Source organism: Homo sapiens, chromosome 8 (assembly GCF_000001405.40).
Source record: "Homo sapiens chromosome 8, GRCh38.p14 Primary Assembly".
In the NCBI taxonomy this organism is placed as follows: Eukaryota; Metazoa; Chordata; class Mammalia; order Primates; family Hominidae; genus Homo; species Homo sapiens.
This window is the reverse complement of record NC_000008.11, coordinates 97508208-97524395: the sequence shown is the minus strand read 5'-3', so window position 1 is coordinate 97524395 and position 16188 is coordinate 97508208. Positions and strand designations below refer to the sequence as shown.

At 40.4% G+C, this 16188-nt stretch overlaps 1 long non-coding RNA gene across 1 annotated transcript; it reads right to left on the bottom strand.

Annotated features, from left to right (window-relative positions):
* Positions 1 to 5082: 5082 nt before the first annotated feature.
* LOC105375657 (uncharacterized) lies at positions 5083 to 11351 on the bottom strand. Its single transcript, XR_928437.3, has 3 exons — positions 11232 to 11351; positions 10237 to 10314; positions 5083 to 5356 (listed from the first exon to the last, which is right to left on the bottom strand). It is a non-coding gene; the product is annotated as an uncharacterized LOC105375657 (long non-coding RNA).
* Between the last annotated feature and the right edge of the window lie 4837 nt (positions 11352 to 16188).

Genomic DNA, 16188 nt, shown 5'->3' with positions numbered 1-16188 from the left:
AAACAGAAATAGAGACCAATGGAACAGAACAGAGGCCTCAGAAATAATACCACACATCTACAACCATCTGATCTTTGACAAACCTGACAAAAACAAGAAATGGGGAAAGGATTCCCTATTTAATAAATGGTGCTGGGAAAACTGGCTAGCCATATGTAGAAAGCTGAAAGTGGATCCCTTCCTTACACCTTATACAAAAATTAATTCAAGGTGGATTAAAGACTTAAATGTTAGACCTAAAACCATAAAAACCCTAGAAGAAAACCTAGGCAATACCATTCAGGACATTGGCATGGGCAAGGACTTCATGACTAAAACACCAAAAGCAATGGCAACAAAAGCCAAAATTGACAAATGGGATCTAATTAAACTAAAGAGCTGCACAGCAAAATAAACTACCATCAGAGTGAACAGGCAACCTACAGAATGGGAGAAAATTTTTACAATCTACCCATCTGACAAAGGGCTAATATCCAGAAGCTACAAAGAACTTATACAAATTTATGAAAAAAAATCAAACAACCCCATCAAAAAGTGGGGAAAGGATTTGAACAGACACTTCTCAAAAGATGACATTTATGCAGCCAATAGACACATGAAAAAATGCTCATCATCACTGGTCATCAGAGAAATGCAAATCAAAACCACAATGAGATACCATCTCACACCAGTTAGAATGGCAGTCGTTAAAAGGTCAGGAAACAATAGGTGCTGGAGAGGATGTGGAGAAATAGGAACACTTTTACACTGTTGGTGGGACTGTAAACTTGTTCAACCATTGTGGAAGACACTGTGGCAATTCCTCAAGGATCTAGAACTAGAAATACCATTAGATCCAGCTATCCCATTACTGGGTATATACTCAAAGGGTTATAAATCATGCTGCTATAAAGACACATGGACACCTATTTTTATTGCAGCACTATTCACAATAGCAAAGACTTGGAACCAACCCAAATGTCCATCAATGATAGACTGGATTAAGAAAATGTGGCACGGCCTGGCGCGGTGGCTGACGCCTGTAATCCCAGCACTTTGGGAGGCCAAGGCGGACGGATCACGAGGTCAGGAGATTGGACCATCCTGGCTATCATGGTGAAACCCCATCCCTACTAAAAAAAATACAAAAAATTAGCTGGGTGCCATGGTGGGCACCTGTAGTCCCAGCTACTCGGGAGGCTGAGGCAGGAGAATGGCGTGAACCTGGGAGGTGGAGTTTGCAGTGAGCCGAGATCACACCACTGCACTCCAGCCTGGGCGATAGAGAGAGACTGTCTCAAAAAAAAAAACAAACAAACAAAAGAAAATGTGGCACATATACAACATGGAATACTATGCAGCCATAAAAAAGGATGAGTTCATGTCCTTTATAGGGACATGGATGAAGCTGGAAACCATCATTCTCAGCAAACTATCACAAGGACAGAAAACCAAACACCGGATGTTCTCACTCATAGGTGGGAATTGAACAATGAGAACACTTGGACACAGGAAGGGGAACATCACACAATGGGGCCTGTAGTGGGGTGGGGGGAGGGGGGAGGGATAGCATTAGGAGATATACCTAATATAAATGACGAGTTAATGGGTGCAGCACACCATCATGGCACATGTATACATATGTAACAAACCTGCATGTTGTGCACATGTACCCTAGAACTTAAAGTATAATTAAAAAAAAGATTAAAAAAAAGATTATGGCCTGTAGCCCCATCCATGTTGCTGCAAAGGCCATGATCTCATTTCTTAAAATAGCTGCATAGTATTCCATAGTGTATATGTACCACATTTTCTTTCTCCCGTCTACTGTTTATAGGCATCTAGGTTGATTCCATGTCTTTGCTATTGTGAATAGTGCAGTGATGAACATATGTGTGCATGTGTCCTTATGATAGAATGATTGATATTCCTTTGGGTGTATACCCAATAATTGAATTGAATTGCTGGGTCAAATGGTAGTTCTATTTTAAGTTCTTTGAGAAATCTCCAGATGACTTTCCAAAATGGTTGAACTAATTTACACTCCCAGCAGCAGTGTATGAGCATTCCCTTTTCTCTGCAACTTTGCCAGCATCTGTTGTTTTTTGTCTTTTTAATAATAGCCATTCTGACTGGCATGAGATGGTACCTCATTGTGGTTTTGATTTGCATTTCCCTAATGATTAGTGATATTGAACATTTTTTCATATGCTTGTTGGCCATGAGTATATCTTCTTTGGAGAAGTGTCTATTCATGTTCTTTGCCCATTTTTTTTAACGGGGTTGTTTTTGACTTGTTGACATGTTGAGTTTCTTAAAGATTCTGGATATTAGACCTTTTGACAAATTAAAAATTTTTTTTTTTTTTTGTAGAAACAGAGTCTCACTATGCTGCCCAGGCTGGTCTGGAACTCTTGGGCTTGAGCGATCCTCCCCACTCAGCCTCTCAACCTCCCAAAGTGGTGCAATTATAGGCATGAGCCACTGCACCCCAGCCTCTCCTTGTTTTTTTTTTTTTGAGACAGGGTCTCTCTCCCGTTGCCCAGGCTGGAGTGCAGTGGCATGATCTTGGCTTGCAGTCTTGACCTCCCAGGCTTAGGTGATTCTCCCACTTCAGTCTCTGGAGTAGCTGGAACTACTGGCACACACCACCACACCCAGCTAATTTTTTGTATTATTAGTAGAAACAGGATTTGGCTGTGTTGCCCAGGTTCATCTTGACCTCCTGGACTCAAGTAATCTGCCTGCCTGGGCCTACCAGAGTGCTGGAATTATAGGCGTGAGCCACTGTGTCTGGCCTCCCTATTTTAAATAAGAAGGCAGGCCTTATAATTCTTGGCCTGAGAGATCTGAGCAGCAAGCAGAAGAGAATGAAGGCAGTTACCTATCACAATATTACTTTTGTAACCAGAAAATGACAGAAACGTTATTATTGTTTTTTATCTTTTATTTTAAGTTGGAGGGTACATATGCAGGTTGTTACATAGGTAAACTTGTGTCAGGGGATTATACAGATTATTTTGTTACCCAGGTACTAAGCCGCTTACCCAGTAGTTATTTTTTTTTGCTCCTCTTTCTCCTCCCACTCTCCACCCTCAGGTAGGCCCCAGTGTCTGTTGTTTCGTTCTTTGTGTTCATGAGTTCTCATAATTTAGCTCCCACTTATAAGTGAGAACATGCAGTATTTGGTTTTCTGTTCCTGTGTTAGTTTGCTAAGGATGGTAGCCTCCAGCTCCATTCATGTTGCTGCAAAAGACATGGTCTTGTTCTTTTTTAATGGCTGCACAGTATTCCATGGTGCATATGTACCTTTTCTGTATCCAATCTGTCATTGATGGGCATTTAGGTTGATTCCATGTCTTTGCTATTGTGAATAGTGCTGCAACAAACATTCGTGTGCATATGTCTTTATGGTGGAATAATTTATTTTCCTCCGGGTATATACCCAGTAATGGGATTGCTAGATTGCTAGGTTGAATGGTAGTTCTGTTTTTAGCTCTTTGAGGAATCTCCATACTACTTTCCACAATGGTTGAACTAATTGACACTCCCATCAACATTGTATAAGTGTTCCCTTTTCTCCACAACCTTGCCAGCATCTGTTATTTTTTGACTTTTAAAATGATAGCCATTCTGACTGGTGTGAGATGGTATCTCTTTGTGGTTTTGATTTGCGTTTCTCTAATGATCAGTGATATTGAGCTTTTTCTCAAATGCTTGTTAGCTGCATGTATGTCTTCTTTAGAAAAGGGTCTGTTCATGTCTTTTGCCCACTTTGTAATGGGGTTGTTTGATTTTTGCTTGTAAATTTGTTTAAGTTTGTTATAGATGTTGGATATTAGACCTTTGTCACATGCGTAGTTTGCAAATATTTTCTCACATTCTGTAAGTTGTCTGTTTACCTTGTTGATAGTTTCTTTTGCTGGGCAGAAGCTCTTAAGTTTAATTAGATCCCATTTGTAAATTTTTGCTTTTGTTCAATTGCTTTTGGCATCTTTGTCATGAAATCTTTGCCCGTTCCTATGTCCAGGATGGTATTGCCTAGGTTGTCTTCCAGAGTTTTTATAGTTTTGGGCTTTATATTAAAAAATACAACTAAAATTCCCACTTTAAACATCATGGAAAAAAATTCTGCAATGCCATTTGGCAAAACCATGCTACTGACTCCAAAGAGCTGTGGCTTGTGCTGCTGCTGCTGCTGCTGCTGCTTTTGTAGAGGATGGGGAGGCTGGACAAGGTTTCTGCACACTGTGGAGAGATTAGGAGACATCCATCCTTTCCAACTGGTCTGTAAGCAGCTCCTGAACATCTACTAAGAGCAATTTTGAGGGTTTATTTTGTGTACATATGATATATCGGGAGAGCCAAGCGTGGCACATGCCATTACCATCATTCTACTAACCAGAACATCTTATTAACCACTACTTTTATAGTAAGATCTTGTGGTACTTTCTGAATCATCCAGATTGGCTCAGCACAGATTTAGGATTAAGTGCTTTTTATTGTGATTCTATTCTTTGAAAATTAGTAATTCATGTAGGGTCTGAATCACAGCTTACTAACTAGAACTGTGGTTTCCAAGCATTTGCTTTTCACCAGAGGAGCAGCCCATTCTTACAACTGAAACTTAAGTGACGTTTACAAGGTCAAGGGAATGAATAAAAGCTCAGTGGCTCTGGTGCAGCCCGATTGCCTCCAGCAGCCCAGCTCAGTCTGACTTCCTCTCCTCCACCCAGGACACCCCAGGAACCCTTAGGGCTCTGCCAGCACCATTAGAAAACCGCAGAACTTACCCGTTTTCATGAGAATGAACTCTGTTCTAAACAAACACAGAAGGCAGAGATTCTATTGCTTGTGGATGGCCTAAGCTTATTACACATTACATATTGCTGTGACTTGCAGGGAGGTGGAGAAGGGGAAAAGAAAAGGGTGTCTCTCTTGGCTGGGAAAGATTTGGAAGTCCCCAATCCCTTTCCCTCCACTAAACCTCATCATTTATGCTTTCATTTGGACTATGAAATCTGAGAGTGAGATAACGCTGCTTTATGGAATGCAATATAAAATTGAATTTAACCTCAAATTTTAATGTATTCCAGGGTCAACCAGACATTTGAAATATAAGAGAGAAAAATGCTCTAACCATGCTGGCTCAGAAGACGTTTGAGTTTTAAGATTCATTGTGCATGACAAATTTCTTCACCTTCCCTCTTTTTCTCAATTACAATCAGATTTCTCAGTGTTCCTCCATATTCATTTACCAGTGATGTGGCTTCACGTGTCCTGGTCGGACACAGCTGAGTCCAAATCCTTACCGCATCATTTAGTAGCTGTGTGTCAGGAAGTATGGTATCTAAGCTCTGTGAGCCTCAGTTTCTCTCTGCAAAGGGGGAGAGAAAAGGCACTTAGTTCAATGGGTGGCTGTGAGGATCAAATAATGTATTTAAATATTTATCATAGTGCCCAGTACATTGTAAATATACAAAAAAGTTTTATTATTATTGTGATTTTAGTTTGTAAGATTCAAAACAGTGAATTTTTTTTGTTTTGAGACGGAGTTTTGCTCTGTTGCCCGGGATGGAGTGCAATGATGTGATCTCAGCTCACTGCAATCTCTGCTGCCCAGGTTCAAGCAATTCTGCTGTCTTGGCCTCCCAAGTAGCTGGGACTGCAGGTGCACGCCACCATGCCCGGCTAATTTTTGTATTCAAAACAGTGATATTTAAAAAAAACCAGCCACTCATGGCCCACAAGAATCACCAGGAGTGCTTTAAAAATTGTGAATTACGGATAGCCTGGACGAATTGAATGAAATATTTTGGGCTGGGGTCCAGGCACTGGTAATTTAAAAAATTACTTCTAATGGCCAGGTGCAGTGGCTCATGCCTGCAATCCCAGCACTTTGGGAGACTGAGGCAGGTGGACCACCTGAGGTCAGGAGTTCGAAACCAGCCTGACCAATATGGTAAAACCCCATCTCTACTAAAAATACAAAAATTAGTTGGGCGTGGTGGCGCATGCCTGTAATGTCAACCACTAGGGAGACTGAGGCAGGAGAATCACTTGAACCTGGAAGGCGGAGGTTGCGGTGAACCGAGATCACACCACTGCACTCCAGCCTGGGCAACAAGAACGAAACTCTGTCTCAAAAAAAAAAAAAGAAAGAAATTGCCTGTAACGTACAGCCAGGTTGACAGCCACTGGGATGAAATATGCAGCTGTGGGCGAGAATGCCCGAGAGGGAGTGTGGGGGTACCCACGGGGATGCTTTGCCTCCCATGACAGGGCAACTGGAGGAGCATGGAGTGAAGGTGACAGTGAGGAGTGAGGACAGAGAGGAACTGATTTCAGAGAGAGGTTTGGAGATAAGGGAATCGATAATCAGACCTCTAATATTCATTTTTTTTTTTTTAATTCTAGAGACAGGGTCTCACTCTGTTGCCCAGGCTGGAGTGCAGCTGCGTGATCATGGCTCACTATAACCTCAAACTCCTGGGCTCAAGGGATCCTTCCACCTTGGCCTCCTACAGTGCTAAGATTACAGGCATGAGCCACTGCACCTGGACTCATGGCCCTTTATCATTTTCAAAGTTTTGTCCCATAATTAACTCATTAAATCCTCTCGATGACCCTGTGAGGTGCATGGGGCACATGGTATGCTCAATTAAAGAAAGGGGCATTGAGCTGCAAACAAATCATTTGCTCCAGCCAAATAGTACCTTGTAGGCAGGATCACATTGAAATCCACATCTGACTCCAGATGTTTTTCCAGGATACCATTAAGCCTCTTACTTAGCTCCTCTACCTGGTAGCTGTCCCCTACTGGCTTCTTAACTAGTGAGGGGCAGTTCTGGAGAAACTTTCTGTTTAGTATGCAAGGAGCCAGAGTGGCTTTTTGCCTTTTTCACAAATGATATGAGTAGGATAAGAGAAGGTTCGAGTAGAAGTAAATGGCATAATGTGACTCTCTGTATTGCATTGGCCAGCCTTGCTCTGAGAGCTTTGAACTACAAGCAAGCTGACAGAGTCAGGAGGAATTTTCATGTCAACAACAGGTCTTGATGTTGCTGCTTTGGTGCCCAGGTTCACGGATGTTGAATAAAGTTTGCGAAAGGGAGACAAATATATTACATGATGGATTTCAAGCTACTTGTGTTGTATTCCAGGAAAAGCTGACCTGAGAATACATGATGTTCTCAGTGTCCCATGTAACTTCTTAGAAGAACCTGTTCCAAAGTAAACTGTGGTCTGGATAACAGCAAAACGCGTACACACATATGCACCCACCCCACTCTCCCAAGGGACAGTAGCCAAAAATTGGATCCAACTCTTAGGTACTCTGTGGTTTACTGTTTCTTTGACACTCTAGCGCTGTTGAGTTAGTCCAGCATAAACTATCTAGTTTTGCTACCTTGTGGGATCTGTTGCAACTTTAAATGTTGGAAGCAGATGGAGGGTTTACAGGAATTGTCTAACTAGGCATTGCATCTTGATTTGTGGTCTCACAACTGGTTATGGTGTTGATCTGAATTCAAAGAAGCAAATGACCACAGCATCAGGATATGGGTTGGTCTTGAAAACAAGGGTGGATGCTCATTCAGATGCAGCCTTCTGGGAACCAAACTTGTTTTGTACCATGAAAGAGACCATCAAGGTGTTTTTCTTTGTTTTTGTTTTTAATGAGGCTTGGTTTAGTAATTTATTCAGAGACTTCAAACTGCATGCAAAATCCCCCAGGATCTGAAGGAGTGAAGGGCAAACTATTTTATTTATTTATTTATTTATTTATTTATTTTATTATTTTTTTTTAATTATACTTTAAGTTTTAGGGTACATGTGCACATTGTGCAGGTTAGTTACATATGTATACATGTGCCATGCTGGTGCGCTGCACCCACTAACGTGTCATCTAGCATTAGGTATATCTCCCAATGCTATCCCTCCCCCCTCCCCCAACCCCACCACAGTCCCCAGAGTGTGATATTCCCCTTCCTGTGTCCATGTGATCTCATTGTTCAATTCCCACCTATGAGTGAGAATATGCGGTGTTTGGTTTTTTGTTCTTGCAATAGTTTACTGACAATGATGGTTTCCAATTTCATCCATGTCCCTACAAAGGACATGAACTCCTCATTTTTTATGGCTGCATAGTATTCCATGGTGTATATGTGCCACAGTTTCTTAATCCAGTCTATCATTGTTGGACATTTGGGTTGGTTCCAAGTCTTTGCTATTGTGAATAATGCCGCAATAAACATACGTGTGCATGTGTCTTTATAGCAGCATGATTTATAGTCATTTGGGTATATACCCAGTAATGGGATGGCTGGGTCAAATGGTATTTCTAGTTCTAGATCCCTGAGGAATCGCCACACTGACTTCCACAATGGTTGAACTAGTTTACAGTCCCACCAACAGTGTAAAAGTGTTCCTATTTCTCCACATCCTCTCCACAGGGCAAACTATTTTAAATCATGTTGCAGTCATGGTTACTAAGAGACATAGTGCCCAGGAAATCTCTGTGTTCCATCTTTAGGGATTTACCCATGAGGATGTCAGAAACAGAGTCAGAGAAATGGTAGGCTCATGGCATGCTTTCTGATTCTGATCAAGATAACTATCAACATAGTTTTGGCTGGGTGTGGTGGTTCACCTTGGTAATCCTAGCACTTTGGGAGGCTGAGACGGGCAGATCACTTGAGGTCAGGAGTTGGAGACCAGCCTGGCCAACATGGTGAAACCCCTCTCTACTAAAAATACAAAAATTATCTGGGCATGGTGGTGCATGCCTGTAATCCCAGCTACTTGGGAGGCTGAGGCATGAGAATCGCTTGAAACCGGAAGGCGGAGGTTGCAGTGAGCCGAGATCATGCCATTGCATTCCAGCCTGGAGGACAAGAGCGAAACTCTGTCTCAAAAAAAAAAAAAAAAGATAGTTTTGATAAATTGTCATGAGGAAAGATAGGCACAACTGGATAAGCTGAGAAGAAGCAAGATCACACATTGCCAGTTACCCTGCCTTGCCTCTGTTCCTCAAATGTGCTGTGCTCCTTCCTACCACAGGGCCTTGCTGGGGCCTTCCCTCTGCCCCACCTGTCTTTTCCAGATTAGTTCCTAACCCTCTGTTATGGGTTGAATTGTGCTCCCCTAAAAGATATGTTGAAGTCCTGATCCCTAGTATCTCAGAATGTCACCTTGTTTGGAAATAGGGTTGGTGCAGGTGCTGTTAGTTAAGACGAGGCCATTCTGGAGTAGGGTGAGCCCTTAATCTAACATGACTGTTGTCCCTATAAGAAGGCCATGAAAGACTCCCAGGGAGAACACTATCTGGCAGGAGTCAGACCTTGGAGGGATGTAGCTGCAAGCTAAGGAAGGCCTAGGATTGACGACCATGACCAGAAGCAAGGAAGAGGCAAGGAAGGATTCTGTCCAGGGTCTCAGGGGGAACATTGCCCTGCTGACAACTTAATTTTGGACTTCCAGCCTCCAGAATGGTGAGAGGATAAACGGTGGCTTTAAGTCACCTAGTTTGTGATGGTTTCTTAGACAGCCCTTGGAAACTCATGTACCATCCCTCTGCTCTGAGTTCAAATGTCATCTTTTGGAGAAGCCTTCCAGATCCTCCCACAGCCTAGGGTATATCCTCCTGCTATATGATCACCTACCACCTCAACGTTTCCTTCATTGCCCTTATGACATTTAGCACTTACTGCTGAGTTCCCTATTAGATTGGAAACTCTCTGAAATGAGAGACTATGTTTCTAGGACTCATCATTGCATTCCCAGCAATCAGGGTGGTATCTGCCAGCAGCATCCACTCTTTAAATATTTGTTCAATGAAACAATGAATAATGAGTAAATAATATTTTAAAACTTTATTTCTAGCGTTTCACAATTATCTGGGGGCTAACAGTTTATGAACAGAAATTTTCTCATTAAAACTCATTTTACTTGAAAGAAGGGATTACTTTCTTGGAAGCTTAAAATCCAGCATTTTCATGCTTAGTCATAATATTTTTCTTCAAAGTAATAAAAAAAATTTAGGCTTTCTTTTATAGAAATAGTTTTCAAGATGGAAACAGTAAGAAAAAAATATTGCTTAAATTGTGTGAAGTCTCCCTCTCCTTTTTCCTCTCTAAAATGCAATTTAGAATATATTTTGAATATCATTTTCTTTATGGAGTCATCACTTAAGGGAATAACAGGACTATTCATTGACTATGAAATGAGTCAACAAGTTGTTGAAAGTATCTTCCTTACCTTTTACTTGGTGCCTTCCGCCTTTCTTTGAAGCTGCTGGTATGGATTGCGAAGTATCTTTCTAAAGCTTCCTATTCCCTTTTGGCCAGGCATAATAGTTAAAGGGAACACTCAGAAGATGGAAAATGTATAAAGTAATGCATTGAAATAAGTATTTATCTTCACCTTTAAGTATTTATTCCAAAGTTATTAGAAACATTGTCGTACCTCTTATTTTGGAAGAATTTCTAAAGCTTGGGAGAAAATCAGTTTTATTACTATATTGTCATGCCTGGTTTTGGAGAAAACAAATAGATGTCTTCTTTATTCATCTGTGTGATCTCCATATAATTTCTGACCTTTTTGAAGGATGAAAATTTGTTCATGATGGGGATATTTGAAGGGTTGGGCTCTGAAAGAGGGGGACAAGAGGGCTTAGCAATGTCAGCTGTAGTGCAGTAGGAAATGCTGTGCGTGTGGGTGAATTTCAGCCCCACGAGTGATGTTGAGCTAGTCTTTAAATGACCTGAGTCTCAGTTTCTTCACTTGTAAAATGAAAATAGTATTTCCTAATGCTGCTAAGAGGATCACTTTTAACAGTATGTCAGATGCTTATGAAAATGCTTTACCACACATTAAGTGCTCTGTGGCTATGAATCAAATTCGAAGTTAATTAGCTATAATTATACTGTATGCTTCGGAAACACATTGCCACTTACAAAATACTTTGTATACGTTGTATTATTTGAGATTTAAAATAGCTAAGCAAACTGGGCTAGGCACTAATCTGTTCCGATGAACAAGATATAGTTCCCAGTATCAAGGCACTTATGGTCTAGTGGAAGAGACAGGCACATAAACAGATAATTTCAATGGTAAGTATAGTAATAAAGGCATATCTGAAGAACAATCAAAGCAGACAGGCATTCAATGACTGTGTCATGTGCTCTGCATTGTACTTGATGTGTGTTATCCCATTAAATCCTTATAAACAACCACAAAACAGTAATAATTACCTGGCGGACTTGTCTGCAGTCGTAGAGCTGGTAAAGGATGAAATTGAGACTGAAATCTAGATGTGTCTCCAGAGTCTGAGGCTTGAGTTCTGCCCTTGACAGATACTTCATAGGTGTTCAGTTTTTATAACTGAGTAATAAGTCACCTCAAACTTAGTGACATAATACAATAATAATTTTATTATACTCATGGGTTTTGGTGGGCTATGTATCCATAAAATGGAACATCTTGTTCCATGATGTCTGGATCTCAGCTGGGCACACTGAAAGGCTGGGGTGACGCAACAGCTGAGGACTGGAGGGCTAACTTACTCACATGTCTGGTGGTGATAATGGCTGTCAACTGGGACCTTAGTTTGGGCCATTAGACAAAACACCCACATGTGGCCTCTCCATGTGACTTATTGAATTTCCTCACTGCATGGTTTCTGAGTTTTTTTTTTTTCTTTTGACTAAGTTTTAAGAGTGAGAATCCCAAAAAGAACCAGGCAGAAGCTGTATAGCTTTAAAAAATCTAACCACACAGGTCGGAAGTCACACAGTGTCATTTCTGCCAGAATTCCAAGCCAGACTTGCACCCCAGACTCAAGGGGAGGGGATGTAAACCCCACTTTTCATGTGAGGAGTCCCAAAGTCATATTGTAAGAAGATCGTAATGGGATTAGAAAATACAATCTGCCACAGTCTACCCTTTGGCCACAATAGTTCACATACCTCTCACATGCAAAATACACACATCCCCTTCTCCAAGAGCCCAAGTCTCATCTCAAAATGGCATCAGCTTGAAATCCAGGATCTTATCACTTACATCAAGTCCAGCGTGATGAAACTCTTCACGTAGCTCCTCTGATGCAGTTTCTCTAAAGACCAGTGAACTAAAGAGACAAGTTATCTGCCTTCCCCCTTACCCATCAAATATACAATGTGGGATAGGCCTTGACTAACTGTAATAGCGCTCCCATTTAGAAAGAGAAAAAATAGGAAACACACTGATTTCCCAGCTATTATCACTAGTCCATAGCAATTTTGAAATTGAGCTGGACGTATGTTGTCAGTTCCTTAATTAGGGCTCAGTCCTACTGCCTGGGAGTTTTCTCTTGGCTTTTGCTTCTATTCTCTGAGTTATCTTTCTTTTTCCATAAGAAACTGCTAGTATTTGCCACTGAGTAGTTTTCTCAGCTGGTTTCTTTACTTGTAGTACTTTAAGGATCAAAGAAGAACTCCTGTTTCTGTTCTGCTCTTTGTCTTTTAAAATCAAAGCTGATATAATTAAAAAAAAATCTTTGCAGATTTCCTATGTATCTATTTATAAACCCCTCCATTGCTTAAAACCCATGCCACAAAACTCTTGGCAGTAAGTCTTTTCTACCTCAGGCTCTCTGTGAGACTACTGTGGGACAATACCCTTGTAGTTGTTAGAAACCACATTGTTTAATGGAGAATGTCTCTGAAGTATGCCCTTCAGATCTTCAGAACTTTTGCTCATTGGAAAGATGCTACAAGGTTCAAACAAAGGTTCTTAGTGTCCCAGCCTAGATTTGACTTTTGGCCTGAAATCCTTTGTTAATTTAATAATTGTTTGCCACTCAAGAGGCTGAGAATGGAAAACAGTTTTATGTTTGAACCCACTAAGTCCTGTCTTCTTTATATTCAACACTCCATTCCTTAACTGATTTCTTTCCTCACATTTTTTTGTAGGATACAAGAAGAAGCCGGCTGTCATTTTCAATATTGTGACTAGAAATCTCCTAATCTAGTTCACTGAGTTTATTAGATACAACCCTACTTTCTACGTTACTGCAAGTGACAGTGTTGCTAAACTTTCTGCCTCTACTAGCAAGGGTGTCCTCTTCTCCAGCTTTCAATAACATTGAAAAAAAAAAATGTTCCTTTAATACTTCACCAACAGCCCCCTCAAAGCCTTATAGGTTTCCACCAATCAACCAACACCAAGTCAATGCTAAATGTTTTAGGTTTTACTATGGCAGCATACTTTTTTTCTTTTTTGATACTGAAATAGGTATCAAAACCTATTTCAGATACTATTGATTTACCACAAACTACCCCAAACTTACTGGCATATGAGAGCAAATATTTTGTTAGTTTGCGGATTCTGTGCATCAGGAATTCTAGACATGCCAGTAGAGATATCTTGTTTTGGTTCCATGATGTCTGGGACCTCAGTTGGGGATGCTTGAAGACTGAGGATGAGTTGATGACTCAAGTATAGACTCATCTGAAGATATGTTTACTTGTATGTCTGGTAGTTGATGCTGGCTGTTGTCTGGGACCTTAGCTGGGAATGTCAGCCTGACCATTTACATGCAGCCTCTTCCTTTGGCTGCCTGGGCTTTGTGGCTGGGTTCCAAGAATAAACTCCAAAGAGAATCAGGGAGAAATTATAACACCTGTTAAGATATAGCTCTACAAATAATAGAGCCTTAACATCTTTCTGATATGGTCACAAACCTGCCCATATTTAAGGAGAGGGAATATAGACCTTCTCTTGTTGGAAGAAGTATCAAAGTTATTGAAGAATAGCCTGTGGATGGGAGATGCTATTGTAGCCATTTTGGAAAATATAATCTGCCATGATCAGAAACTATTGGATCATAAAGAATGAATATCTGAAGATTCCAGAAAGGCTGTCAGAGGGAGAGGATCCCTAATCTGAGTCTTAAAGGATGAACTTGGCAAGAGTAAGTGTTAGCATGTTTTTCAGTTAATAGCAAGGAAACAATTATGAGTATAATCTCTTAAATTGTTAGGGGAATAACATCCTGAAGTGACTACTTTGAAATGAAAACACTCATTTGTATATGCAAGTCATAGTGTATTAGAAATGTTCACTTTATTTTATAGTCAAACCTCACACTAAATAAATGCTTAACAATGATCTCTAAATGGTAAAAACAGTCACTGATTCAAGAGATATAATTCAAATGGAATTGGTAACAGAGAACCTATAAATAGGAGAAACTGATAAATAATAATGAAGACAATTCAAGCAGTGGCATCCAGTAAAAAGAATTTCATGGTAGGGAGAAAAGGACCTTAGGATCTGTCACATTGAGATACAAAGGGATTGCAGGCAGCAAATCACATAGTAGCACAACATGGGGCTAAATGCAGCCAGGATTGATTAACATCTAGTACAGAGGAATAATTGTTTTTCCCATTAATAGCTCTGAGTCACTGTCCTGGTAGCACTCTTCTGGATGAGACCGTCTATGCCAATACCTTTTGCTGTTCAAATAATAGCCTGGTAGGGTATAGATGGACACTGGATCTCTAAATCTCACCTTCCCCCACAAACTGCTGCTCTTTTTAATGGAGCTTTGTAGACACTAAACTCCTCAAAGCCCTAGCTCATTTCTCTGTCCTACCCTAGTTTGGTCCAGTATTTATTTATTTATCTTTACATTTAATTCTGTGGATAGCTCTATCATTCACATTGTTCAAAAAACCAGGAAGTATCAATAGATACACCATGAAATTCTCCCTCCCATCCTTGTCCTCATTCCACTTCCTCATATATAATCACAGTTCTTAGTTTCTTATGTATTGTTCTAGAGTTTCTTCATGCATAGACAAGCAAATACAAACACAAATTTTAATTTTCTTCCTACCTATCCTTGCCCCCTGCTTTTTAAACCCCAAAGATAGTATATTATACTAAATGTTCTTTATCTTGCTTTTGTTATTTTACTCCATCTCGTGTATATTTTGTGTATGTATGTACATATTACAGGCATCAAGAGGATTCTTAAATCTTATTTCATGGGAGGTATTGGAGAGAATATAGATACTGCGATTAGGACCAACATGGGTTTGAAACTTACCTTTTGCATTTGAAACTCATGTAATATTGGACAAATGTCTTAATCTTTTAGAGCCAATTTTCTCATTTGAGAGTAGTGATAATAATACTGTGCAGGTTTGTAGTGAGATTATCAATAAAAGAGTATATATCAATGGCCTAGAACATATTAGATACTCAATAAAAACTACCTATCATTATTACTTCATCACCAGAGTTTAAAATGACACTAGTTACTTTTTAGTGCTTCCACAATCATCCTGATCTGGTTCTGGAGGGACTTAAGGCTTCTCTCTTAAACAGGCTGTATCTCTATTCTGCTAGGGAAATCATGTTCTAGATGCCCTTCAAGGACTCACAATCTCTGATAAGCATCAGCAATACTGCTAAAAATACCAATAATGTAGCTGTTTCATGGTACTTAAAGAGAACAATGAAAAATACCAGGTCTTAGAAAGACACTTGTGTGATGCTTCAGATGCATTGGCTACTATGGTAGATTGCATTTTTAGCCCCAGCTCTTCACTATGTCCTATATCCATGCCACTTGCCATGTGACTTTGTAGTTCCCCCTATGAAAGGGATGGAAGTATATACTTCCCTGTCTCTTGACTTGGGTTGGGCCATGTGATTTGCATTGGCCAAGAGAAAGAGGTGGAAGTAATAGTGCATCATTTTTGAGCCTCATTTTCAAGAGGTCTATGTGTTTCCATTTTCCTTTTTATGTTCTGCCATTGCTGTGAGGAGAACACATCTAGGCCTCTGATGCTAGGAGGGGGAAAAGAGGTACACAGAACAGATGCAACCCAGCTGAACCCTCCCAGTCAGACCACCCTAGCTGAGCCCAGCCTAGATCAGCTGACTCCCAGCCAACCCACAGATATAAAAGTTAAATGCTTACTGTTAAACTCTAAGATATTGTGGTTTTTTTGTTACACAGAAATAGCAAACCGATACAATTACATTTCACCAAGTGCTAGGAAACGGTTGAAAAATACTAGAATATTTAGGAAAAGCCACGACTAGTTATGTCCGATTTATCAGGGGAAGGGCAGGAGTCAGGACGAATAAGAAATGAGATGGTTAGATGTGTTTACAATACAGCCAAACAGGGTTGAGGAGGGAGAATCCAAATCA